Raw genomic sequence first — 26905 nt, 5'->3', positions numbered from 1 at the left:
TATAGTAAGAACTGGCCAAAGATTTCTTTCAGTGCAAGATTCTCAAAACCCTGTCTTAACATTCATTATAAGATACTAATTTATATACAAAAATTTTGTTAATTACAAATGCTATTACAAATGGATGACATGGTAATTTTCTAACAGATTCTGCTTAAAGAAAATCCCATGGTCAAAAATAAGATTTATTTATTCTCTTACCTTGCCTGATTTAGAAGTTCTATCAGGACGTGACTAAGGAAAAAGAAAATCTCTGGGGACAATGAATAATAGCTTATTATTCAAACAGAGGAAAAGCTACTCTACTTCTTAGTTTAATAACATCTCAAAATCCAGATAAATTCCATTGTATAAATAATACTATGAAAACTCACTTGATATTACAAATTTTGACTATTTCTTATCTGGCGCAACATAGCTATTATTTTAATGACTATAGCTATATCCATAAATTCACATTTCCTCTAATACCACTTGTAACTGACTACTTCCACTGTTTCACTAAGGCTTTGTGCTCAATTATCCCTTTTATATTCATACAGTTAAACTTCCAACCTTTAAGCTAAACATCAACCCTTTTAAAAGCACAGCGTTTTTTTTTTTAAAGGTCTTATGGACATTTGCATTGAGATTATAGGCTGGGCACAGTGGCTCAGGTATGCAATCCCAGCACTTTGGTAGGCTGAGGTGGGCGGATCACTTGAGCCCAGGAATTCAAGACTAGCATGGGCAACATAGCGAGACTCCATCTCTACAAAAAATACAAAAATTAGTCAGGCGTGTTGGCATGCACCTTAGTCCCAGCTACTGGGGAAGGCTGAGGTGAGAGGATCACTTCAGTCAGGGAGGCTGAGGCTGCAGGAAGCCATGACGGCACCACTACACTCCAGCCTGGGGTGACAAAGTCAGACTCTGTCGCCAAAAAAGAAAAGATTATAGGTGATCAATCCCTGGATGGCCCACATAGTGGTTACAAGAATTGTTTACATGCATTAAGACGTGTACAAAGAGCAGAATATTTACCACTAATAGTAAGAAAACTGGTATACAATGCAGAACTCACCTGAGTATAGAAGCCACTAGCTGCCTCTAGGAACAGAGAAAGGTTTGCCTGAACTTCACTCCGATTCGGATTTGCTCGATTCTTTGCCTGGCCTTGCAGTGTTGTGATCTGATTCTTAAAGGCGTGATTCCAGCTGAAAACAAAATGTAATTCTATTTGGTATAGCAGTGACTCACTGGGCAGACACTGGTCCCCCTGAGAACAAGAAAGAACTGTCTGTTATAATTATACCACACGAGACAGTAAACCTGCATTAAAGTTATTCATTTATTTAAATAACTTTATGCTTCCCTTTGAACAAGACTAGACATGCAGTAGAATCCAACTGACCTTAGTAAACACTTACCAAATGTTCGAATAATCAGATTGTGGCTTCAGCTATTAATCTTTTAGAACTACTAGAGTTTATTTAGGAATCCCGGTAGAAATTCAGAACAATGGTGGCAAGATCAAAGTAAAAATAAGGTATTAACAAATTTCTACATATAGTGCCAAATGTGATGGACTATACCCTAACAAGTGACATGTATATGGGGGCAGGGATTTTGTAAATAGTAAGCCATATCTCTTACTTCCCCAAAAGTTATTTCCCAGAGCATTCAGTTTCACTGCTATTTAATAGTTTTGTTTATTTCTCTTGTGATTGAAACATAAGCCACATTTCAAATTTGGCTATTTACAATAAGAAACAATATAATGCTGAAATATGGCATACCAAAATCCTGTTATAAAATGCTTTTCTTTAATCTAGTTATATATGGAATCAGTTTAAGTCCAGTTATGATGAATACAGTCACTCTCTCACCTGGAAACCACAGTGGGGAATAAAAAACTAGAACAAAGGGAAGATATTACTGGCCTGATTAAAGGAAGCAAACACAGATAAGAGGTTTACAACTTACCTGGAAAGCATGGAAGTACCTAATTCTATATCAACATCAGCTTCTGAGGCTCTAGAGCACTAGGCTTTTTAATGACTTAGGAGGACAATCACTTCCCTCAGCATTTCTGATGACATCTTATCCTTGACTCTAACATCACAGGATAAGGATTTTGATGGTCGTAATTTAGCTGTATTACTCGACTTCCTAAAAATATAAAGTATCTAAGGCAGATGTAAATGATAGAAAAAACTAATCTTCACCAAAACTTAGGGTAACGGACATTAGTAGACAAAGTACTCTTAATTGATTTTTAAATTTCTATCAGGCTAATGTCCCTGTTCCAATTTGTAAGGCAAAGCCTTCCACAAAAGACAATTACTCACTTGGGAATCTGGTTATCTGCCATTTTGCCCCTTATAGAAAGAAGAAGCGGAAAAGTCTAAATACACAAAATTTTTCATTTTATTGGGGGTAGGGGAGGAAATACTACCAACTTATTTAATTAAAAGAAGGAACTTTCCTTACAATGCAAATACATTTTCCTGACAGGGAAATTATAGAATCACGTTTAACAAAGAAAGATTTTTCTAAAGCCTATTCTTGTATTTTTTTTTTAAATCGCGGCTTAATTATAAGACTGACCACAGACAATCCAAACACTCTTAGTATTTGAAATAGATATATTTGTTTTTTTTGACAGGCCCTAAAAGAGCTGCCGTAATGACCTTAATAGAATTCAACTCTAAACATTTCTCTTCTTACCTCCTCCAAAGACTGTATTTGAAATAATACCAATGGCCAAATATCACAAATACTAGAATTACTTTCCATTGAAAAAGTTTATTCTGCAACAGGTTGAAAAATAAATAACGAACCAAACTGTTTTAAAGTCTCGGTGAAATTCTTGATCTTACAGGGACTTCTCAAATGATAGGTAATACTTACAGATCCTGTTCTACTTTCTTGTCTAAAGCGTATTCCAAATCGGTAACTAGCATTTTCTGGTACAGGTCCTGCAGAGCCTGCCTGGATGTCCAGACTTCAGCTGGACCCAGCTTAGAATCTGAGTAACAAAAACAAAAACATAACGGTAGATAGATAAACCCCAGCAGTTAAAACCATTATACCACACCAGTGACTCCTTCCTGCTCTATCCCCAAGGCAAAACCTGCTCTAAATATATTCCATAGAATGCTGCAGAAGTTTTATACTACTATATTTCAAATGACTTTCAACTTTTGACTAATGACTAAGTCTGGTTTACAATGCTTCTGTTTTTAGTTTTGAAATAATATCATGAAATGAAAAGGGCTAAAAAAAAAAAAAAAAAAGAATGGTTTGCCCTTTGCTTTTTGTTTGTATTTCTGCCTTTTCATATAACAGGAAACTATATGCCTTACAGTAAGCCAACCCATTTGAAATAACAGACTGTCAAGTTGGTCTGTTTACTCTCATACTGTATCTCTTTTTCCAAAGCAACTTTTTCTTTCTTTTTTGTCTCTGTAAGGGAGTCTCTGTAAGGACTCCCACAAATGTCCTTACAGAATTCTCACATCAGCTGATTATCTAGCAGTTGCTTTGGTATTCTGCAGTTACTCCTCTCTCAATATATTGACCGAATAAGCCATGACAGTATTATTTTAATGAGCGGTAGACTGTTTCCTAAGATACTTTTGTGAGCAATCCACATTAGTCATTTAATGTAAACAAAGACTTAGAAGACTAGGATTAAATTGCTAAAGAGGTCAGATGAGAGACTGGGTGTAGAATGTAATCAGAAAGTCAGGCTATGACTACACATAATACAAAATTGGGGCCATGCTGTCTGCCAGAGTCATGCAAGGCACATTAACCTTTGCAATCACTGGGATTATGATTGCAATAACTGACAGTAAACTCCCTCAGTAGGTGAACTTAATAATGGGCTTTTCAATTATATATTTCCCATAACTAGCTGGGCTACTTCGTTTTGCTACTACACAATGGAATAATCATCACTCTTCTTTAGGTTTGCTATTAGCATCTATAGCCACCACAATCCTATTTTGCAAAGAGAATCTCCTGGATTTGAGTTAATGCTCCTAAGAGTTTACAGGCTAGTTAAGAATAGAGTTTACTATCAGCTCCTCATCCCTAGTTAAATTGTTAATCACTAACTAATAGATTTAGTCAACCCTGCTTTAATTCACTTATGGCAAGAAAAAGAAGTGTAAAAGATTACTAATTCTCATCTATCAAGACCATCATTCAAATGAGCAGACATTATCTTAGTTAAAGTTTCTGGGCAGCCAAAGGTCCCCTATAAAGGTCAAACCCTAAGACTATTTACTAAGGTTGTTCAATGTCTAAGAAAAGGTAAATGGTACAGATAGCCTGATATTGCTCCATGTTCTGTTTTCATCACACAATAGATTATGTTTTCAATGCCAATTCAAGAGCATAATACAGTAACTCAGAGCAGACACTGATATACACAATATAGATGATGACAAATCTGTTAATAATGGAAAGAACTGAGTAGTACCTTTTACTGAGTAAATATACAAGCTATTCACCCCCCAACACACTTTTCCTTGAACAAGATGACACGAGATTATCCATGAACTCTTAGGACATTAGCCTAAGTGACTCTAGAGCTGACAAAAAGATATTTTAATAGTCCTTTTCCTCTTTGCAAATCTTGGCAGGTATGCTGTTTAATTCTTTTTTTTTTTTTTTTTGTGAATTTCACTGCAGAACTAAATTATTGAGAAATTAGAATAAGATTCACTAGTACCTATCCTTCTTATTACATTTTAGGATGGCATATGCTGTTACGGAGGGCATACTGACCAGTATACGGTGATTACAACATATTTCCTAATTTCGTATTTAAATCATTTACTCTTTTTTTTTTTTTTTTTTTTTGAGACGGAGTCTTTTTCTGTCGCCCAGGCTGGAGTGCAGGGGTTTGATCTCTGCTCACTGCAACCTCCACCTCCCCAGTTAAAGTGATTCTCCTGCCTCAGCCTCCAGAGTAGCTGGGATTGCAGGTGCATGCCACCACGCCCAGCTAATTTTTGTATTTTTAATACAGACGGGGTTTCACTATGTTGGCCAGACTGGTCTCGAACTCTTGGCCTCAGGTGATCCACTCACCTGGGCTTCCAAAAGTGCTGGGATTACAGGCGTGAGCCACCGCACCATGCCTCATTTACTCCTTTCAATGGCTAAGCCTGGCAGTTATTCTTCCAAAAGACCTCAGCCATTATTTAAAGCAACAAAGATGGCCAGGCGCAGTGGCTCACGCCTATAATCCCAGCACTTTGGGAGGCTGAGGCAGGAGGATCATGAAGTCAGGAGTTCGAGACCAGCCTGACCAACATGGTGAATCCCCATCTCTACCAAAAATACAAAAATTAGTCAGATGTAATGGCGTGTGCCTATAATCACACCTACTCAGGAGGCTGAGGCAGGAGAATCGCTTGAACCAGGGAGGCGGAGGTTACAGTGAGCCGAGATCACGCCACTGCATTCTAGCCTAGGTGACAGAGTGAGACTCCATCTCAAAAAAAAAAAAAAAAAAAAGTAACAAAGATATGGGAGAAAAGAAAGGCAGCAAGGTAGCTCACTCAATTTCAAGGACTTCCAATAGAATTTTTCTATAAATATTTTTTCTGAAGGTTTACCTACTAAAGTTTGGTTAATTATTAATAGAAAAAAAAATTTCCCAGAAAGATATTAGCCTAACACTGTAAGATATTTTGGTTTATATGGGGTATGTTATTTTTTCTGTATGTCTTAAATCATTAATAAAAAGTTTCATAAAAATTAAGTGATTATATAAACTAAATTAGGTAACATTCAATTCAGTATACCATATATTAGTATTACATGCAATTCCCAACAGTTATTTAAGCAAGAATTCAAACTACATAAACAATAAATATTTAAAGCAGATAGTAAATGATCATCCCTTTTGGCAACTAAGATGGGATTTAGTGCTGTGCATAATATAAGAAAGAGGATATCCTTCCATTAATTTAATATATAAAATATGTTGTGAAAAAGAAATAAGCCAGCCAATACCTGTCATGTCAGCCTTCAGGACTTCTGCCTGCCTAGATAGAAAAAAAAAAAAAAAAAAAAGAGTATCAGTTAGAAACAAACGAGGCCTAACTAACATATAAATAACACTAAAAGTTAGGTGAAATCATATACTACGATAAGGATATACAGCAGCTATATTTGTGGCACTGCAAACAGCATCCCTACTTTAACATCAGGGTAGCACAAGGTCTTGGCAAATTAATGCCAATACTTAAAAGTTTAAGGACCACTTAAAAGTTAAGTGACCTCTTCTGCTAAGTAGAGTCCACTTTCTTGCTGTTTTCCTTCACATGTGATTTACTTAAGATAATATTAAATGATATTAACTTTTTAAAAATTCTCTCAATGCTGCCAAAAAAACCTACTATGTTTCTCAATTCACTAGTCACCATAACTATTTCAAATTTCCCCTCTTCTCAAGCTACTGATTCCTATGTCCCTTCCTCACCTCCAAATGACAGTTCCATACCTCAGGGAAAACAATTCCCACTTACTAAATATGTACTACATTTATACAGCTTGCTTCTTACTTTCTCTTGTTAAAACACTAGAGGTATTGCACCTCTTATTTAATATTTAAGAACAATAATTCCACTTAGGTATGTTCTTGCTAACCCTTCTTAAGGACTGTTCCTTTGATTTACCCCTTCCCTTGCACCAATTTTGAGACTTCCCTCACTTCATTTGGATCTTTCCTTCTCTTCAGCATTTTAACATGTCCAAGTATCTCACACATTTTAAAAACCTTCTGCCCCACGTTCCCCTCTAGCTGCTGCCTCTTTTTTCCCCTCTCAAATTCATCAAGAATTGCCTGTGTTCAAGAGGTCCAAAACTGAACTCAGGACCCATTCCCATCCCCTATCTCTAGTTCTCTTTGTAAGGTTGTTTCATCTTAGCAAATGCATCATAGCTTTCCAATTGTGGAAGGAAGAAACCTGGAAGTCCTCCATGACAACTTTCTCCCAAACCCCTAACATCTATCAACTCCAAAAAATGTTATCTACTAACTATATCTTGAATCTGTTGATTTCTCTTTATTTCTTCTTCAGCCACTCTCATTCAAGAACCATCCCTTGGCTTTGTTTCCTCCACTTCATTCTTGCCCCATTTCATTCTGTTCTCCCAACAGCTGTCAGAGGAATCTTTTAAAAATGCAAATCTGATCTATCAATTGTCCCTTTAAAACACTTTAATGACTTCCCACTACTCTGAGGGTAAAGAACAAAATCTAAACTGTCCTACAACATTCGACAGTCTCTGAACTCTACTTCCACTACTCTTCACTCCTTGATCTCCGGGCTCATTTCTGGACTTCTGGACTGGACTTCTAGTTTCTCCAGTATACCCTGCTTCTTTCACACTAGGGGTCTTTATAAAAGACTCTGCTAGCAACACCTCTTCCCCCTTCGTCTGCTTAATTACCACTCATCTTTTATCTCAGTCAGAACATTACTGCTTCAGAAAGCCCCACCTGAACTCCATCTAGATTAAGGATAATCCTATTTTATGCTCTCACAGCACTTCTAGTTTTTCTTCATATTACATATTACAGATTTTAAGAATGCTCATCACAACTCCTTGTCTACTAGCACAGCACCTTGCACACAACAGACACTCAATATTTTTAATGAGAGGAAAAGTATAAATCAGACTCATACTCTATTTAAGAAGGTAGGTATATAAACTTAAGAGAGATTTTTTTTTTTTTTGAGAGAGAGAGACTGGGCCTTGCTATGTTGCCCAGGATGGTCTTCAACTCCTGGGCTCAAGAGATCCTCCTGCCTCAGCCTGCAAAGTAGCTGGGATTACAGGCGCATGCCACAATGCCAGGCTGAGATTTCCATTTTTTTTTTTCTTAAGACGGAGTCTCGCTCTGTTGCCCAGGCTGGAGTGCAGCAGCACGATCTCGGCTCACTGCAAGCTCCGCCTCCCAGGTTCACACCATTCTCCTGCCTCAGCCTCCCAAGTAGCTGGGACTACAGGCGCCTGCACTTTTAGCATGAAAGCTAGAGAATATTAAGGTTTTGAAATTTTTACTGTAAATATTGTTTTATATAATTTATTAAGTATTTAATGTCAATTGTATTAGGATGAAAAAGTAATCATGGTTTTTGCCATTTTTTAACATAGCAAAAACCATGATTACTTTTGCACCAACCTAATAAATTTGTTTCATTAAAATGTAAAGCAAATCCTTTCATTCTCTTAGCCTTTAAAAGATATTTACATCTTTTTAAAAATTAAGCTTTCAAACAACAGAATCTCAATGTAGTGCTAAGGAGGTAACCATAAGCCCTATAAGAACTAGCAACATAAATGAAGAATACTAAACAAATAGCCACACTTAGTCGTAAAATGTAACATCATATCAAATTCCATTATCCATATAGCCTGACTTCACTCTTCACTTCAGGTGTTAACTTTTGCCATTAAAAAAAAATACATATTTGCAAAGCTGTTGGCTTATGCCTTTAAAACCTAAGTTTATACAATTTAATAAAGCATACCATGTACCCTATCCTACCAATGTCACAAATGTCGCTCCTCCCCTGAAAAATCCTATTGGAGAGTACTAATTTATAAACCTTATAGTGAGAAAGCTAGGGTTAATTATGTACCTTTACTAGATTCAATGAATGACCTTTCATTTTGTCCTTGAGTTGCGAAGTTACAAAGGATATACTTTACTATGCTTCCCTATGTTAGCTAAAAATTTATACTCAAGTATGTTCAGGATATATACTGCATCTAAAGGTTGTTTTCTCATTCCAAACATGATTTGTTTTGTAAAGATGAACAAGTAACATTTCAGTATGCTAACATCCACCTAATGATGTTACCAACTTCCAGTCAAAGATTATATGGGGTATATAATAGTAATGTAATTTACAAACAATCTGCTTTTCTTATAAGCTGTCAGGTGATGAACTATAGTTCTTGCAGACTCTGGAGCAGGCTTCCATTGATAAACACAGATCTAAAATTTTACTCTGTTATTTTTACCATGCTATAATCTGTCCAAGAAAAACCGTAAAACTAAAAAGTCAAGCACTAATAGAAATATAAAAATGTCACAAAAACTGACATAAAAGTTAAAATATTTTGAAATTCCAGCTTTGATTCCTCAGTATAACAAGGGTAGAGGCGCTCATTTCTGGGCAGTTCTTTCCTAGGTTCTGAAAGAAGCACAAGTTAATTACTTTTATTAGCTTTCTAATAATGACAATTATTAGCTTTCTTTTTAAAAGTAACCTTGCTAAATTGAATTGATAAAGACAGCTAAATGGAAAATATAACAACCCTACGGGATAGCTATACTTATTCCTGTTTTATAAATGGAAAAACTGAAGCTCCGAGATGTAAAATAATTCTTCCAGTCACAAAGCAGTCAGGTACAATTAGGTACAAATTTTGTTCTTAAATGACTCCACAAAGTCCAAGTCATTTCTATTTCTTTCAAAGTAGAATAACAAAATTACTATGACATAAAAAGCTAATGTTGGCTTATCTAGGAACATTCACATTTAAGTCAGTTAGCCTAAATTAAAAGATCTGTTCATAAAGGAAATAGATTATATCTGAAATTTTTATCAAAAGGACCACAAGAAATAAATTTTATACTCGAATGCCGTGGTCGGCTTGTGGATGAAATTCCCTTTCATCCTGGATCTATTTTTGTGAAGACAGTTTTATTGGAACACAGCCACACACATTCATTTCCATGTTGTCTGTGGCTGTTTTCAGCTACCAAGGCAGAGTTGAGACAACAACCACATGGCCCACCAACCCTAAAATATTTACTATCTGATCCTTTAACAGAAAAAGTTTGCCATCTCCTGCTCTAAGGAATATCTGACGAAAAGAACAAAAGTAAAACTTCTTTAAGTTCCCAAACCAAATTATGGTTATAAGGAATCATCAACAATAGTGTCTGCAGAGTAAAAGTCTGTTTTTATTAGTTAATATCTTGATCTTGTCACAAAGTGGACTATCTTAAAAAATACAGTCTCATATAATTAGAAACAGTACTTGCAGGCCATGCTATGTTTTTGATAAAATCTAGTGGCAAACTCTTTAAAACAAAGTTTGGCTTATATACTATTATCCACTAACTTTTTTTTCTGTATCCCCAAAATATCCATTTAGACAGGTGGGAGGGTTAAGCTAAGAGTTACTGCCTCACAAGAAAAGGAATCTCTATCTTCCCACCCCTAAGCAACTATTAGCTTTCTTTTTAAAAAACAGTGTACAATATATGAGAAATCAAATCAATGGATACGTAACCTTATATAAATGTTTTAATAGATTAGCACAAAATTGGCTATATCATTATTTTACTTTATAAAGAAAAAAATAGGCCAGGCATGGTGGCTCACACCTGTAATCACAGTACTTTGGGAGGCTGAGGCAGGAGGATCACTGGAGCCAGGAGTTCAAGACCAGCCTGGACACCAGAGGAAGACTTCATCTCTACAAAAAATAAAAAATTAGCTGGCGTGGTGGTGTGCACTTGTAGTCCCAGCTACTCAAGAGCCTGAGGTGGGAGGACTGCTTGAGCCTAGGAGTTCTGAAGCTGCAGTGAACCGTGTTTGTGCCACTGCATTCCAACCTGGGCAATGGAGTGAGACTTTGTCTCCAAAGAAGAAGAAGAAAAAAATACTATACCTCAATTGTTCTATGGTTTTGTTATAAAAACCATCAATGAATTAACATTGAAGTTTACAGCCAATGCTCATACAGAGAGGCAAGAACTTTAAAATGTTTTCTCTTGGTAGAGGGTATGGCAACATGAATTCCTTTTAATTCTTTAAGCTGAAGGAATTAATGAAAATAATGAATGAACCAAGAATAAAATCACCATGATTTCAATAACAAAATAACACTATTAAACATAGCTATCGAAATATATTGTCTTAGTTATTAAATAATAGGAAAAATTAAGCAATTCTATTAAGCAATAAAAAAAGAAAAAGTCATTAAAAGGCTGAATAAAATATGGAACATTCAGTGACAGCCAACTATGTTGAAAGCTAATAAACTGAAACAATAAATACTCGTGGAATAATCAACATCTATAAATACATTTAATGCATTCTAAACACTCAGTACTATATACTATACTACAGGTACTACAGAAGAGGTAGTATAGGTACTAGGTACATTAGAATACATATAGATATTATAGTGCCTATAGGTACAGCTAACACTATATGTAGCGTTTACTATTGCCATTGTTCTAAGAGCTTTACATAAATTATTTACTTCACACTAAGTACTGTTATTGTTCCCACTTTATAGTGCAAGAAACCCAAGGAGACAGAGGTTAAGTAGTATCGTTAGTTAAGGTCATAGTAAGTAGCAGAAGTAGCATAATCAATATGGCTCCAGAGTATAACTCCTAACCATTATTTTATGATATTATATAATAGTTCCTCTCTTACACAAGAGTATAAGAAAAAAAAATTGAAATGTTTGATAGTAACAACCCATAGAACTGGGGCTTTCAATACTTAAGCATTTTATGATAATTTTTCAAATAATGTTACTAGAGGAAAATACTAAAATTTGGGTTATCTTCTTTAACAAATATCTTGATTATACATATAGCACTTATGTAACAATGCTAGGTAACAAATACAGGATAATCTCTTTTAAGAATATATAGCCTAACAGCTGGGCACTGGCTCACGCCTGTAATCCCAACACTTTGGGAGGCTGAGGTGGGCAGACCACCTGAGGTCATGAGTTCAAGACCAGCCTAGCCAACATAGCGAAGCCTCGTCTCTACTAAAAATACAAAAATTAGCCTGGCGTGGTGGCATGTACCCGTAGTCCCAGCTACTCTGGAGGCTGAGGCAGGAGAATCACTTGAACCTGGGGGGCGTAGGTTGCAGCGAGCCAAGATCACACCACTGCACTCCAGCCTAGGTGACAGAGTGAGACTCCGTCTCCAAAAAAAAAAAAAAAAAAAAGAATATATAGTCTAAGATTCATGGTTTAAAAATGTAAGATATTTCCAAATCAGGGCACATAAAATGGGAGATTCCTTCTGCCTGAACTCCCAATCCCCTTTGAGCAGAATTCAGGAATATAACTCAACATCTTCTAAACTCACAGCTGCTAAGGAAAAGTGAATCACTCTCTTTTATTTTGGGAGAACACGCTGGGAGTTTTTTCGTGTTTTTTTTTTTTTTAAGAAATTTAACCAAAAGCCACAAGTTAATTTGTTCACTTGTTTCATAGAGTTCTAAGGAATACTTGGGATAATAACAGCATTTCTCAATCATAACCATAAACACAATAATCTAATCATAATTATTTATGCTGAATAATTGGCCAGACATAAAGTAAGCATGCACTTAATGTGCACATGCGTATACACCCACACACACATCAAGTCTCGCAATATTAATCAGAGAAAAATAAATCATATTGCTCTACTGTTGAATGTCATTTGGAAAAGAAAATCTAGAGAAGATGCTGCTCCTAAAGGAGCTTTTCTTGCACACGTTAATAAAAATACTAATTTGCTTTCTCTTTACAGCACTTTAGGGCTCATGAAGGATTTTCAAATCTCCCAACACTACAATACTCTATACCACAACATTCGCTCCATAATTTATATTCTTTAAAAATGTGTACCTAGTTTTATTAAGGACCAACACTGGTCTGAGAATTTCAAAGGATGAGAAGGAGTTATTCTTCCAAGCAGAAGAAATAACAGAACAATAAAAAGCAAAGCTAAGCTAGTGAGTGAGCATCAAATGCAAGGCAGAAAGCCACAGATAATGAAGCTGAAGAATCCAGACAGAACAAATTGTGAGAGGCCTTGCATGACTTGCATGACATGCCTTGGAGTTCAGATTCTGTCCTTCAATAGAAAACCAGTGCAGAATTTAAAGCAAGAGCATAGCATTGTTAGATTTACATTTTAGAAAGATTACTACAGATATAAGACTGAAGTAAGGAAGTGGTAATACAGATGAACGGAAAAACCCAGATTCAAGAAATACCTGGTAAGTTAAGCCAAAAGAAAGGAAGATAAAGCAGAGGAAAGAGTCTGTCACTCCCAGATTGTTAGTTTGGCCAGCTGGGTATATGAGAAGGTAAAGAATGCAAAAAAGATAGTGTTCAGGGCTACACCCATAACAGCTACAATAATGCCTTGACCGTAGCAGCTGTTCACTAAAAATGCGTTCAATTTGTTGAATTAATGAATGCGTAAGCAGGCATTCAGAGATAAGTATCAAGCACAGGGGAGACTTGAGACTAGGGATACAGCACTGACGTGATCAGTACATTGATGGCAGTTAAAACCATGAGAGTAAATGTAACTGCCCACAAACTCAGAAGGGTGGAGCTAGTTCTCTGTTTTCATTTTTAAAGAGTAGATGAAAGACACTCCATGAAGGACACCAAGAAGAAATTGGTGAATAGTATGACAGCAAGGGAAGAGTGGAGTATAGAAAATAAGAGAACAAAAAGGAAGAGTAGTCATCAATATCACAGACAGCAGAAAAGTACTATGAGATAAATAAGGACTGAAAAGTGTGTCAGATTTGGTGAAATAAGGGTCAATGATAGCCTTGCCAGAGAAAAGATTATATCAGGATGCAGGAGGTTGAGGAACAAATAAGAGGGAGAAGTTTACGTCAACTCTTAGGATGCTGGACTGTGTAAAGAGACAGAGATGGAGGCCACGGCTAAACAGAAGTTTCTTCTTTTTTTTTTTTCTTCTCCCAATGGGAGACACTTGAGAGTGTTTAGAATAAAGGAAAGAAGGTGGAAGAAATGAATAGGTTGAAGAAGGAGAAATATAAAATATAAAAAATAAAAAATAGGAGAAAATAAAACTGACAGCACTGTTCTGGAAGAGATAGAAGGAAATAAGAATGGTATTATTAAGACAGGAAGAGGACTGGCCTTGAAAAAGAGTCAGAATAAAATTGGAGGTTGGTAAGGTTAAATAGAAATGTGTTAGAACTAGGAAATACTGGGGGTAGGGAGACGTCAAGAGAATTTACAGCTGTATTTCCTCAATTTCAGAGATAAGGTAGATCCAATCTGTGTCTGAAAGTAAGAGGGGGATAAGCTGAGGAGAATGGTAAATATTTGGGATAATTACAAAATGACAAAGAAAAGAATGCAGAGAAAGTGTTAAGAGCCATGTGGACTAGACAAAATTGAAAAATTAATACAAAAATATATTGGCCAGGTGCTGTGGCTCACGCCTGTAATCCCAGTACTTTGGGAGGCCGAGGCAGGCAGATCACGGGAGGTCAGGAGTTTGAGACCAGCCTGGCCAACATGGTGAAACTGTCTCTACTAAAAATATAAAAATTAGCCGGGCATGGTGACGGGTGCCTGTCATCCCAGCTACCCGGGAGGCTGAAGCAGGAGAATCACTTGAACCTGGGAGATGGAGGTTGCAGTGAGCCGAGATCACACCATTGTACTACAGCCTGGACAACAAGAGCGAGACTCGGTCTCAAAATAAATAAATAAATAAATAAATAAATAAATCAAGATATCAACAGAAAAATCGCTAGAAGACCAAACTGATAATTCAAAAAAGGAAATACTACCAGTAAGTACAAATTAAAATAAGTCAATTTTTTTTTACTCTAAATAGTCAAAATGATAACACTGGTAGATACCTACTTTTAAGGAACTCTAGGTAAGGTGACAGATACAAAGGCATGTACATAATTTCAATACAATAAAAGTCAGTGCAAGAATAGACATATGCCTAGAATACAACTAAAAAGATGAGCCACTGGGAGTGTTGGAAAAGATGAGGGCCATAACAACTAGAATAATGCCTCGGCCCATGGCAGCTGTTCACTAAAAATTGTTGAATTTGTTGAATTATTGAGTGATAAAATATGAACCATACAGGAGGCAGTTTTATGTAATGGAAAATAATATGAAGCAAAAAGACTCAGGTCTGAATTTGGGCTTTCCTACAAATTAGTAATGCTATCTTGGAGCTTTTAAGAAGACTGTTTCCTCATCCATAAAATGAGGATAGAAACTACTTTTCAAAGTTGCTATGAGGAATAAATAAGACAAGTAAGTTATATAAAAGAACCTAAATGATCATTTGAATAAGGAGGGGTAATCTGATTGTGACATGAATAGTTCAATGACCATCAAATTACTTTTGCTAATCTGGTTACTGACTGGCTAGTCAGGTGTCCCTCCCTCCCCTCACTGCTTCATGAGATCCCTTTTGAAGGGGCACATTGGGTTGAAAAAGACATTTCAAAGTTGTAGTAAAAAACCCTATGTCCTCTACCACCACAAGTGACAAAAGAAAAACAGTTTAGATGTCATGAAGACTATGTTCTTAGTATAAACAGAAAATAAAACCAGAGGCAGATACATAAAAATTACAAAATAATTGAGTCAGGATGTTATTTTTTTTTATTTTTCTCCAAACATTAGTTCTGATTACGTTATTTAACAAATACATTTTTAAAATTGGACCTGATATATCAAGACAATTATAAATTATAGAAATACCACACTAACTGATAACAGACTAAACTCATCTGTTAAGAATTAACCAGCAGTCAAACAATAATATAGTTTAATCACTTATTATTTGCCAGGTCTTAGCTTTCATATATTACTAAATCTTTGATTCTCACAACAATTCTATCAGGTAAGTAACAATATTATGCCCATTTTGATGATGAGGGAATAGATGCACAGAGTGGTTAAATAACTTGCCCAAGGTCACATAACTAGGAAATGGCAGAGCTTGGGTTCCACCCTTGCAATCTAGTTCCAAACCCCAGAGCTCATAAACATATTTAAGGCCTTCTGAAATGGCCAGGCTAGAGGTATCACTCTCGCAGAGGCAACTATCATCTCTCAGTTAAAAGCTGCATCTTTGAGATCAAGCATCTTTGCATTTTCTGTCATTATAAGCTGCTGTAGCAATAGTTACTAATTCACATGTACAAGAGGGCTTCTCTAGCATACTATCATACACCTATTTCTACAGGCACTTGGGAGGCTTGATTGCATCCACGCTGACATACAGAACTGCAAGCTGATGTTACCTGCACTCACATGATTTACTAAGTATGTAAAAAAACCACAGAAACTTTCATTCTAAAGGATGAGGTATAAATCATGTGTCCCTACGTTTATCATAAATATTCAGAGACCTCATATAAAACAAAATTTTTAAAAATTTACTTCAGTAAAATTTTCAAAAGCTTCCTTGGACCACAAGATAAAAATGCTCAAGACAAAGTATAAACATAAGCCAAGGTTCTCAAGAAGTCACATAAATAATAAAACTTTAGCATGCCCCATCCCGATCTTGGCCAAAATCAAATGTTTCAGGAAGTTTCTAATTTTATTAGTATTCACAGAGTATGAATAATACACATCTCCAAAAGGAATAAAAACATGTAGAAATCCCTTGTAATTTTCATCCTACCTAATATTACTTGATTTCAGATGCTCCTCTGATTTCAAGTTTTCGGTCCTCATCTGGGACTTAAATGAAACGTTTTCTCCCACAATGACTATCTGCAAGAACATCCAATTTCTCATAAGGTAGAATGGTTTAAGACATTCTAGATAGAGGAGAGGAGGAAAATATGAGTTAACCCACAATAACAGAGAACCCCTATGAAGAAAATTATTTTATCTTTATTTGAAATGACTTCATGTGAAAGGTAAAGGAAAAATGTCAAAGCCTTTTTCTTTTTTTGTTTAATGTTTCTTAGAACAAACATTTAAAAATTCTGTCTCATATATTTCTAACAGATTCTAGTTATAGACCAAAATGTTATTCTAATGTTCCTCACTGTCTGAAAACTGAGTGATCACTACAGGACAAACAGATACCGGTTACCAAGCAGGGCTCTTTTAAGACCAGGATGAGAATGCCCTGTAGAACACAGAAGCAGATGGACTCCTTACTGAAGAAAAAATATGTAAAACAAAACAATTATGTAAAAAATATGTAAAACAATTAAAACACAATTATAGGTAGTATGAATAATGCTAAGATCAGTTGAAAATGTCACGTTTTTCGATTCTCATTTACTGTACAAATTTGGTCATTTTTATATCATAGATACAGTGTTAAGGACTAAGTGTACCATGATGAAAAAAATGGATATGGTCCCTGCCATGGATTTAAAATCTAATGTAGAGACAGACCAACAAGGAAGGAGGCGGCAGTGGTTAAAAGCATGGCTTTGGGAGTCACACTTTCTGCACCCCAGTGGTATGTCAGGTGTAAATCAAGTCACAAGAAAAACAGCACAATTTCTTGGGGACTTCAATTTAACTCAAAGATTTGGACAAAGTAAGTTATTATTATTGCTATTGATAATTGCTTACATTTATAATTAGTACGTGCCAGATACAAAGCTAAATATTCTATATGCATGATATCATAAAATGGGAGTATAATATAGTAAGAATGTCTTATATTCAAACTGCCTAGGTTCAAACCAAGCTCTGCCACTTACTAGCTGTGTAACCTTAGGTGAATTACTTCTCTATGCCCCAGTTTTGTTAGAAATAAGATGGAGATAGTAAAATACCTACCTCATTGAGGTGTTTTGAGGATTAAATGAGGTAACAGAAGTAAAGCACTTAGGACTGTTCCTTGGTAAGTAAGCCCTCAAAAAATGTTGGCCATTATTGTCATTATCATTTTATAGTTATTACTCCTCCCAGCAATCCTAAAAGGTAAATGCTATTATTATCCTCAGTCTATAAATTAGGAACTTAAGAACTCACACTAATCAATTCTAGAATAGAACATTTTTCATAATTCTTCACAATAAAATACGTCTTAGGAGAAATTTCAAATATGTGGCAGGTCTATGCGCACTTTGCTGCCATACTTCCAAAGCATGTATTCAATCTCCTGTGACTTTAGTCGCACTTTAGTGGAAAAGAATGAGAGAAAATATGATAAAACTCAAGTTCCTCAGCATAGCATATAAAGTGCCACAGCTTTTCACTTTACACTTTGTGATCCAATAAACCTGAATTACTTTTAATTTCTTGTTGTTTTGCCCCTCAGTATCCTTATTCATGCTTTTTCACTCATCCTAGAATGCCCTCCCACTTCCCTCCTTGTTTGGTTAACCCATTCTTGTATTTTAAACTCAGTAACTCCTAAAAGCAGGTCTTAGTTTGGCTGAGTACTCCCAGTGCATCTTAATGCCCACATCTATTATTGGACTCACAGGACTACAATAAAGTTATTTGTGTACACATTTCCTTCACTAGAAACTGTCCTATTCAATTACGCATATGTAGTGCCTCACATAGTGCACAGCATACAAGTTGCTCAAATAAATTCAGGTTAATTTGGACTAAACAGTTTCTCAATAAAAGGTAAAGATCCTAAAAACTCAAGGTTTCTAAAACCTGACAATAGTTTTAAAAGTCTTCACCAAAAACAATCTGAAAGGTTTTCCATCTGAGAACCAGGAATAACATCCTTTTTCTTAAGAAAACCTACCATTTTATACAGTCAATCAGATAAATACATAATCATTTACTTGGCTCTCTGAAATTCACACTTTGTTTTCATCGTAGTGGAATCTATATAATATATACAGAACATTAAATATTTCTAAAACTTCAAACAGAACATAATATAAATATAAAATCTATAACTTCAAACAGAACATAAGCTCACAACCCAAATGAATGAAACAAGCAAAGTAGGTTAAGCCATAAACAACAGGAAAGCTATTTCCCCTCATCTCAATTTTTACATTAAACAAGGTATGCCAAAACAATGCTTTCCAAAGCAATGAACCCAATGCCTTTTTAAAAATAGTCCTTTTTTTGCAACAACCCCTGTACCTTCTTGAAATAATAAACAGATTAAAATTAGTATCTCAATATATAAATGGTCAGATAAGACCACCTTAGAAGACATAACAAAGTAATCAGATGCTTGCACATACAGATAAAAGGTTAACAGAATTCCAAACAAGAAGGATACCAAAATGAAAGCAAAAATATGAGTAGATACTAGAATTAAAAGTAGTGTTAATGTAAGTAACGGCACACCAAATTTATTTGGAAATGGTAATATGAAAAAACTGACAAAGGGACATTACAAGACAAAGTACAAGGAGTTAATATGGAGAAAACAGGCTGTCCAGAGAACAACAAGCCACAAAGTCGAAGATAAAACACGCATTTCATAAATGACTTATCTGAAATATACAAAGAACTCTTGAACATTAAGAAAACAAGCAACTCGATTAAAAAATGAGCCAAAACCTTAACAGACACCTTGCCAAAGAAGATACACAGATGGCAAATAAGCATGTGAAAAGATGCTCCACATAAAACGTCTCAGGGAAATGCAAGTTAAAACAATAATGATCTACGACTACACTATTAGAATGGTCGAAATCCAGAACAATTACAAAACCAAATGCGAATGAGAATGTGGAGCATCGGGAACTCTCATTCACTGCTGTTGGGAATGCAAAATAGTACAGTCACTTTGGAAGTTTAGCAGTTACTCACAAAGCTAAACATAATCTTACCATATGACTCTAGGTATTTATTCAATTGAGCTGAAAACTGATGTCTACACAAAAACCTGCACATGAATATCATATCGGCTTTATTTATAATCACTGAAAACTAATTTATCCATTCACCTACTGAAGCAACCAAGATATCCTTCAGTAGGGGAAAGGATAAATAATCTATGGCACATCCAGACAACAGATTATTATTTCGCACTAAAAAGAAATGAACTATCAAACCATGAAAAGACATGAAGGAAACTTAAATGCATGTTACAATCTAAAATGACTATATACCATAGGATTCCAACCATATGACATTCCGGAAAAGGCAAGAACTATGGAGGTAGTAAAAAGATCAGTGGTTGCCAGGAGTTGGAGGGGAAGAGAGGGGGAATGAACAGGTGGAGCAAAGAGGATTTTTAGGGCAGTGAAAATACTCTGTACTATACAACGGTGGATACATGTCATTACACACTGGTCCAAACCCACAGAGTGTACAACACCAAGAGTGAACTATAATGTAAAATGAACTTTGGGTGAATATGATGTGTCAATGTAAGTTCACGAGTTATAACAAATGTACCACTCTGGTGGGGAATGTTCATAACAGGGGAGGCTATTCATGTGTGTGAGCAAGGGGTATATGGGAAATCTCTATACCTTTCTCGCAATTTGTCTGTAAACCTAAAGCTGCTTTAAAGGAAAAAGAAAACAAGAGTGTAACCACATCCTTTGACAGGTGACGGTGAACAAAAATTAGGTTGGAAAAAGAAACAGTGTTTTTTGTTTTTTGTTTTAAACTCTATTGCCCAGACTGGAGTGCAGTGGTACAATCATGCCTTACTGCAGCCTCAACCTCCTAGGCTCCTTCTTTAGCCACCCAAGTAGCTGCAACTAGAGGCACGTGCCACCACAGATGGCTAATTTTTGTATCTGCAGTAGAGACAGAGTTTTGTCATGTTGCCCAGGCTGATCTTGAACTCCTAGGCTCAAGATCTTCCCGCCTCGGCCTCCCAAAGTGCTGGGATTACAGGTATGAGCCACTGCACTCAGCTGAAACAGTGCTTTATAAAATGCAAAGCTCCATATAATTTTAGATTAGGGAGAAATAAAGTTCAACTTTCTAACTTGGAACAGGTAGATAACATGAAAGATGGACAAGTTAATTAACTAGCAACAATATTCAAGATACTGTCTGATTTAACTAAATAAAATATTCTATAAATTATTGTGGTACAAATAGTACATTCTCTACTTCCAGGTGCTCTCTGAAACTGAAAAACAAAAGATACTCAAAAGTCAAACTTGATATTCTCACAAGAGCCATTATTTAGCCCATACTTCCAGATGACAATTTAATTATCTAGACAGTTCTTTTTCTTGATTATTTTCCTGAGCAAAGAAATGGGTGCTGTATAATAATAAAATAATTTTGGCCAGGTGCAGTGGCTCACGCCTGTAATCCCAGCACTTTGGGAGGCCGAGGCAGGTGGGATCATGAGGTCAGGAGTTCTAGACCAGCCTGGCCAAGATGGTGAAACCTCCCTCTCTACTAAAAAGACAAAAATTAGCCGGGCACGGTGGCGGGCGCCTATAATCCCAGCTACTCCAGAGGCTGAGGCAGGAGAATCGCATGAACCGGGGAGGCAGAGGTTGCAGTGAGCCAAGATCGCGCCACTGCACTCCAGCCTGGGCCACAGAACAAGACTCCATCGCAAAATAAATAAATAAATAAAATAAAAAATAATTTAACAAATTAAACCAGATGCAGATTATATAAAACCTGTGATACATTATTAACTGCCCCCAATGAATCACACACCTCTTGGCATTTGCACCCCTGGAACTCCTACCAATCCTGGGTTTGGTCATGTGACTTACTTTGGCCAACTGGACTTCAGTAAATGTGACACTGAGACTTTGTAAGCACTGGCACATTTGGGCTTGCCCTTTTGGAACACCATCAAAACACTATGAAGCTGAGGATGACAGACCACTTGGGAAGAGAGACCCAGTTTTCTTAGCTATCACAGCCATTCCAGTTGAGGGCCCAGACATTTGAGCGAAGTTGTTCTGGACTATGCAGGTCAGACTTAACTTGATCTAGATAGTCTGAGATATGAGAAACCACCAAGCAAAATTTTTGGACATTTTAAGCAAAGGTATGACATGAATGTAATTAACTGGTAGTTTCTTAAAGAGTTTTGTTAAAGGGGTCAGAGGAAAGTGGGAGTACAGATATCATTTGGGAGTCATCAGCATACAGATATTCGTTAAAGCCCATAAGACGGGATGACATTACCAAGGGAGTGTTAAGAGTAACAAGTCTGAGAAACTCCAATATTTAAGGGCTAGACTAAGCCTGTCCAATCCATGGCCCACAGACCACATGCAGCCCAGGACGGCTTTAACTGCGGCCCAACACAAATTCACAAACTTTCTTAAAACATTCTAAGATTTTTTTTGCAATTTTTAAAAGCTCATCAGCTATCATTAGTGTTAGCATATTTTATGTGTGGCCCAAGACAATTCTTCTTTTTCCAATGTAACCCAGGGAAGCCAAAACACTGGACACTCCTGGCTAGACTGAGAAGGAAACAAATAGTAAACAGATTGAGAACAAGTGGCCAGAGAAGTAGGAGGTAAATTTGTCAAACGAAGTGTCCCAGAAGCCAAATAAAGAAAAAGCTTCAAGAAAAGAGGGCAGAATCAATAAATGCTCCTGAAAAATAAAGTAAAATGAGGCCTGAGAACTAATCACTGGATTTAGTAATGTGGAAGTCACTGAGGATCTTGTTATAAGAGGATAGGAACTGAGGTTAAAATTGAATTTAGACAATAGTCTGGGAAAAGAAAGAGGCAGTAGCTACAGAGAGATGTAAAGGTCAAAAGCGTTTTTAAGATGGAATACATAACATGTTTTTTAATAGGATGGGATAAACAACAACATAGAAAAGATCCAATAGAGAAACATAATGGGTAAATACAGTCTCATGAGGGCCATAGGGACTTGTTTAACTATTGCATATATTTAAAAGGAAAAAAAGTCCCTGAATGAAAGAATAAAAAGTTAATATATAAAGAAGGAAAGATAACTAATAATTATTGGGGATCTACTAAATGACAAGTGAAGAACATAAGCCATCCTGGGTTTAGTTTTCATGACAACCTGAGATTATAACCATTTTTCCAATTTTATGATTAAAGAAACTCCTAGAGATTTTAGGAAACTTGCCCAATGCCACAAAGATGGTAAGTGCTAGGACTGGAATTCAAATCCAGGCACAGTATCAGAATTCTGGAGCCTAAACTTTTTTTGCTCATTATTTTACAATGCATGACAGGCCTCAATTTTCAACAGTTCATATATTAAAAGCTAAAGTGTAAATATCTCATTGCTTATGATTTATTCAGTTTGCCTTTTTTTTTTTTCCATTGAGAAAAGGTCTTGCTCGTCACCTAGGCTGGAGCACAGTGGCACAATCTGGGCTCATTGCAACCTCTGCCTCCTGGGTTCAAGCGATTCTCTTGTCTTAGCCTCCCGAGTAGGTGGGATTACAGGCACGCACCACCACACTCGGCTAATTTTTGTATTTTTAGTAGAGATGGGTTTCCCCATGTTGTCCAGGCTAGTCTCGAACTCCTGACCTCATGATCCGCCCGACTCGGCCTCCCAAAGTGCTGGGATTAGGGGCGTGAGCCACCTCGCTTGGCCCAGTTTGCCTTTTTGAACAGCATAAGACACACCCACATCCTACTTCCCTTGAATCTGATAAAGAACTCTTCAAGAAATCCTCCTGGTTTTAGCTTCTAGCGTAAGTTCTTTCCCAGGAGTTCTCTCTAGTTGTTTTCCTCACTCTCTCTTCCTCCTCAACATAATGTAAAACAAAAATCCTAATTTTAGAAATTTTTTATTAATGAGAATTACCAGATAACACAGGTTTACCGTATTTTCTCACATGAATTATACATGAGAAATGAACATACAGACTTCAATGGCAATTGCAGGATCCAAATTTGATGAAAATTATAAGCCTATAAATCTAAGAAGCTCAACTACAAGCATTTAAACACAAAAGAAAACCACACAAAGGCATTTTAATCAAATCGCTGAAAAACAATGATAAAAGGAGAGAAAAAAATATATATATATTACCTAAGAAGGATTAAAATAAGAGGCTGGGCACGGTGGCTCACGCCTGTAATCCCAGCACTTTGAGAGGCCGAGGTGGATGGATCATGAGGTCAGGAGTTGGAGACCAGCCTGGCCAACATAGTGAAACCCTGTCTCTACTAAAAACACCAAAATTAGCTGGGCATGGTGGCGTGTGTCTGTAGTCCCAGCTGCTCGGGAGGCTGAGGCAGGAGAATCGCTTGAACCCGGGAGGCAAGGTTGTGGTGAGCCGAGATTGCACCACTGCACTCCAGCCTGGGCAACAGAGCGAGACACCCAAGGTTGTGGTGAGCCGAGATTGCACCACTGCACTCCAGCCTGGGCAACAGAGCGAGACACCATCTCAAAAAAAAAAAAAAAAAAAAAAAAAAAAGAACAAGGGCTAGCTAAGTTCTTATCAGAAAAAAGACAAGCCAGAAGATAATAGAATAACATCTTTAAAATACTAGGGAAAAAATGCCAATCTATAATTTTATACCCAGCAAAAATATTCTTTAAAACCAAAGGTGAAAAAAATACGTTTTTTTTTTTAGAAACATAAGAGCTGAGGAAATTTGATGCCAAGAGATCAATACCATAAGGAATATTAAAAAGGAAACTCTTTGGGCTGGAAGAAAATGATACCAGATGGAAGCCTTGAACTAAACAAAGAGATGACGAGTGCCAGAAATAGTAAATATATGAGTAAATATAAAATAACTTTTTTCTCTTTGTTTTAAAACTTATTTAAAAGTCAATTTATTGTTTTAAGAAAAAAAAAACAAAAACCAAAAAAGTCCCCTAAATTTTGAAACTTAAAACAAATATAGAAGCTGTTTGACAATAGTAGTACAAACAAAAGGAAAGGAAAATGAAAGTACTATATTGTTGTAACATTTTATATTATACATAAAATTATATAATATAAAGGTGCATAATATAAATACTAGAGCAATTTAAAAAAGAGTAAGACAGTTCATAAAACAATAGAAGACATTAGGCAGGCATGGTGGCGTATGCCTGTAGTCCCAGCTGCTCAGGAGGCTGAGGTGGGAGGATTGCTTGAGCCCAGGTGATTGAGACTGCAGTGAGCCATGATGGTGTCACTGCACTGCAGCCTGGGCAACAGAGCAAGACCCTGTTTCAAACAAGCAAAAAAGAAAATACAAAAACAGAAACAGGGAATAGAGAAATAGATAAATCTATAATTATTTGGAGATTCCAAAACTCTCTCAATAACTAACAAAAAGTAGGCAGAAAACCAGTAAAGTGGCCGGGTGCTATGACTCACGCCTGTAATCCTAGCACTCTGGGAGGCCAGGGCGGGCAGATCACCTGAGGTCAGGCATTCGAGAACAGCCTGGCCAACAGCGAAACCCCGTCTCTACTCAAAATACAAAAATTAGCCAGGTGTGGTGGCGTGTGCCTATAGTCCCAGGTACTTGGGAGGTTAAGGCACAAGAATCACTTGAACATGGGCGGCAGAGGTTGCAATCAGCCGAGATTGCGCCACTGCACTCCAGCCTGGGTGACAGAGCAAGACTCCGTCTCAATAAAAAACAAAAACAAAACAAACCAGTGAGGTTAGACCAACACTAAGGTTATAACCCAACAGATCCCACTGGCATTTAGAGAACATTTTACCCAACAAAAGAATACACCTTCTTTGTAAGTGCACATGGCACATTCACCAAGATAGAACATATGCTGAACCACAAAACAAATCTCAGAAATTTAAAAGAATTAAAGTCATAGAAGTACAAATTTAAAAATATATATATAAACAACTAGAATTAGTTGTCTAAGTTAAAGAATAAAGTTCTCTAATTCCTCAAATATTTGGAAATGAATCAAACATTTCTAAATAATCATAGGTTGCCGGGTGTAGTGGCTCACACCTGTAATCTCAACACTTTGGGAGGCTGAGGCCAGGGGATCGCTTGAGGCCAAGAGTTTGAGACCAACCTGGGCAATACAATAAGACCCTATCTTTATAAAAAAGTTTGTAAAAATTAGCCAGGAACAGTGGCAGTGCATTCCTGTAGTTCCAGCTACTCAGGAGGCTGAGGTGGGAGGATCACTTGAGCCTAAGAGTTTGAAGTCGCAGTGAATTATGATTGTACCACTGCACAATACCTAGGCAACAGAGCGAGATCGTGTCTCTAAAAACAAATAAAATAAAATAAATAATAAATAATCACAGGTCAAAGAATAAATCACAGGAGAAACTGGAAAATATTTTAAGCCAAATGAAAACGGAAACATATATAACGTGTCGGATGCAATAAAAGCAGTGCTTAGAGAGGTATTTATAGCTTTATATGCTTATGTTAAAATAGGTCTAAAAGCCTTGATCTAAGCATCTACCTAAGCATCTAAGAAGCTATAAAAAAAAGAACAGCATATTAAATCCAAATAAAGTAGAAGGAAGGAAATAGTGAAGAGCAGAAAACAAAGACACAGAAAATAAGTGAAAGACAAAAGCTGATTCTTCAGAAGGATTTATATAATTCTCCCCAAACTGAACTATAGTTATAACACAATTGCAATCAGAACCCAAGCAGATTGTTTTCGTTAGAAACTGGCAGGCTATTTTAAAATTTATCTGGAAATGCAAAAACCTAGAATAGCTAAAACAATTCCCAAAAAATAGAGAACTTAGATTACCTGATTTCAAAACTTACTAGAGAGTTGTGGTCATCAAGACAGTATAGTAGTCAAAGGAAAGACATGCAGAGAAATAGGACAGAACAGAGGTCAGAAACAGGCTCACCTATTTCTACATTTATGTATACGTGTATGTGTGTTTTTACATGTATAGCCAATATATTTTTGACAAAGGTATCAAAGTAATTTAATGGGAAAAACAATTTTCTCAACAAGTGATGCTGGAACAACTGGATGAAAATTTTAAAACTAGAAAAAAATTAACCTCAAACAATAGTATACATCACAGAAAAATTAACCCAAAATGGATCACAGACTTAATCTATTTCTAGAAGAAAACTAAGGAGTAAATTTTTACTGCCTGGTATGGTATGACGGCTTGTGCCTCCTCCTCCAAAATTCATGTTAAATCTTAATCCCCAACACAACAGTATTAAGAGGTGATGCCTTTAGGAGGTGATCAGACTATGAGGACTCTGCCTTCATGGATGAGATCAGTGCCATA

The 26905-nt window shown here is 36.4% G+C and overlaps 1 protein-coding gene across 30 annotated transcripts in view; it reads right to left on the bottom strand.

Annotated features, from left to right (window-relative positions):
* The window catches only part of SMG7 (SMG7 nonsense mediated mRNA decay factor), an 81693-nt gene that overhangs the window by 35308 nt on the left and 19480 nt on the right, over positions 1-26905 (bottom strand). For 8 of the 30 annotated variants that reach the window (NM_001394134.1, NM_001394138.1, NM_001350220.2 and 5 more), the window contains 5 exons: positions 17617-17753; positions 16493-16631; positions 6016-6047; positions 2893-3010; positions 1064-1196 (listed from right to left, as the gene is read on the bottom strand). In NM_001394134.1, the coding sequence (NP_001381063.1) occupies positions 1064-1196; positions 2893-3010; positions 6016-6047; positions 16493-16608 (399 nt within the window). In that variant the 5' untranslated portion in view covers positions 16609-16631; positions 17617-17753. Of the gene's footprint in view, positions 1-1063; positions 1197-1965; positions 2169-2892; positions 3011-6015; positions 6048-10701; positions 10849-16492; positions 16632-17616; positions 18705-26905 lie in introns of those variants that run through there. The other 22 variants (NM_001394140.1, NM_001394146.1, NM_001375584.1 and 19 more) reach the window with 8 other exon arrangements.

The sequence above is a fragment of the Homo sapiens genome, chromosome 1 (genome assembly GCF_000001405.40).
Source record: "Homo sapiens chromosome 1, GRCh38.p14 Primary Assembly".
NCBI classification, from domain to species: domain Eukaryota; kingdom Metazoa; phylum Chordata; class Mammalia; order Primates; family Hominidae; genus Homo; species Homo sapiens.
Note: the sequence above shows the minus strand (reverse complement) of the source record. Positions and strands in the feature narration are given on the sequence as shown.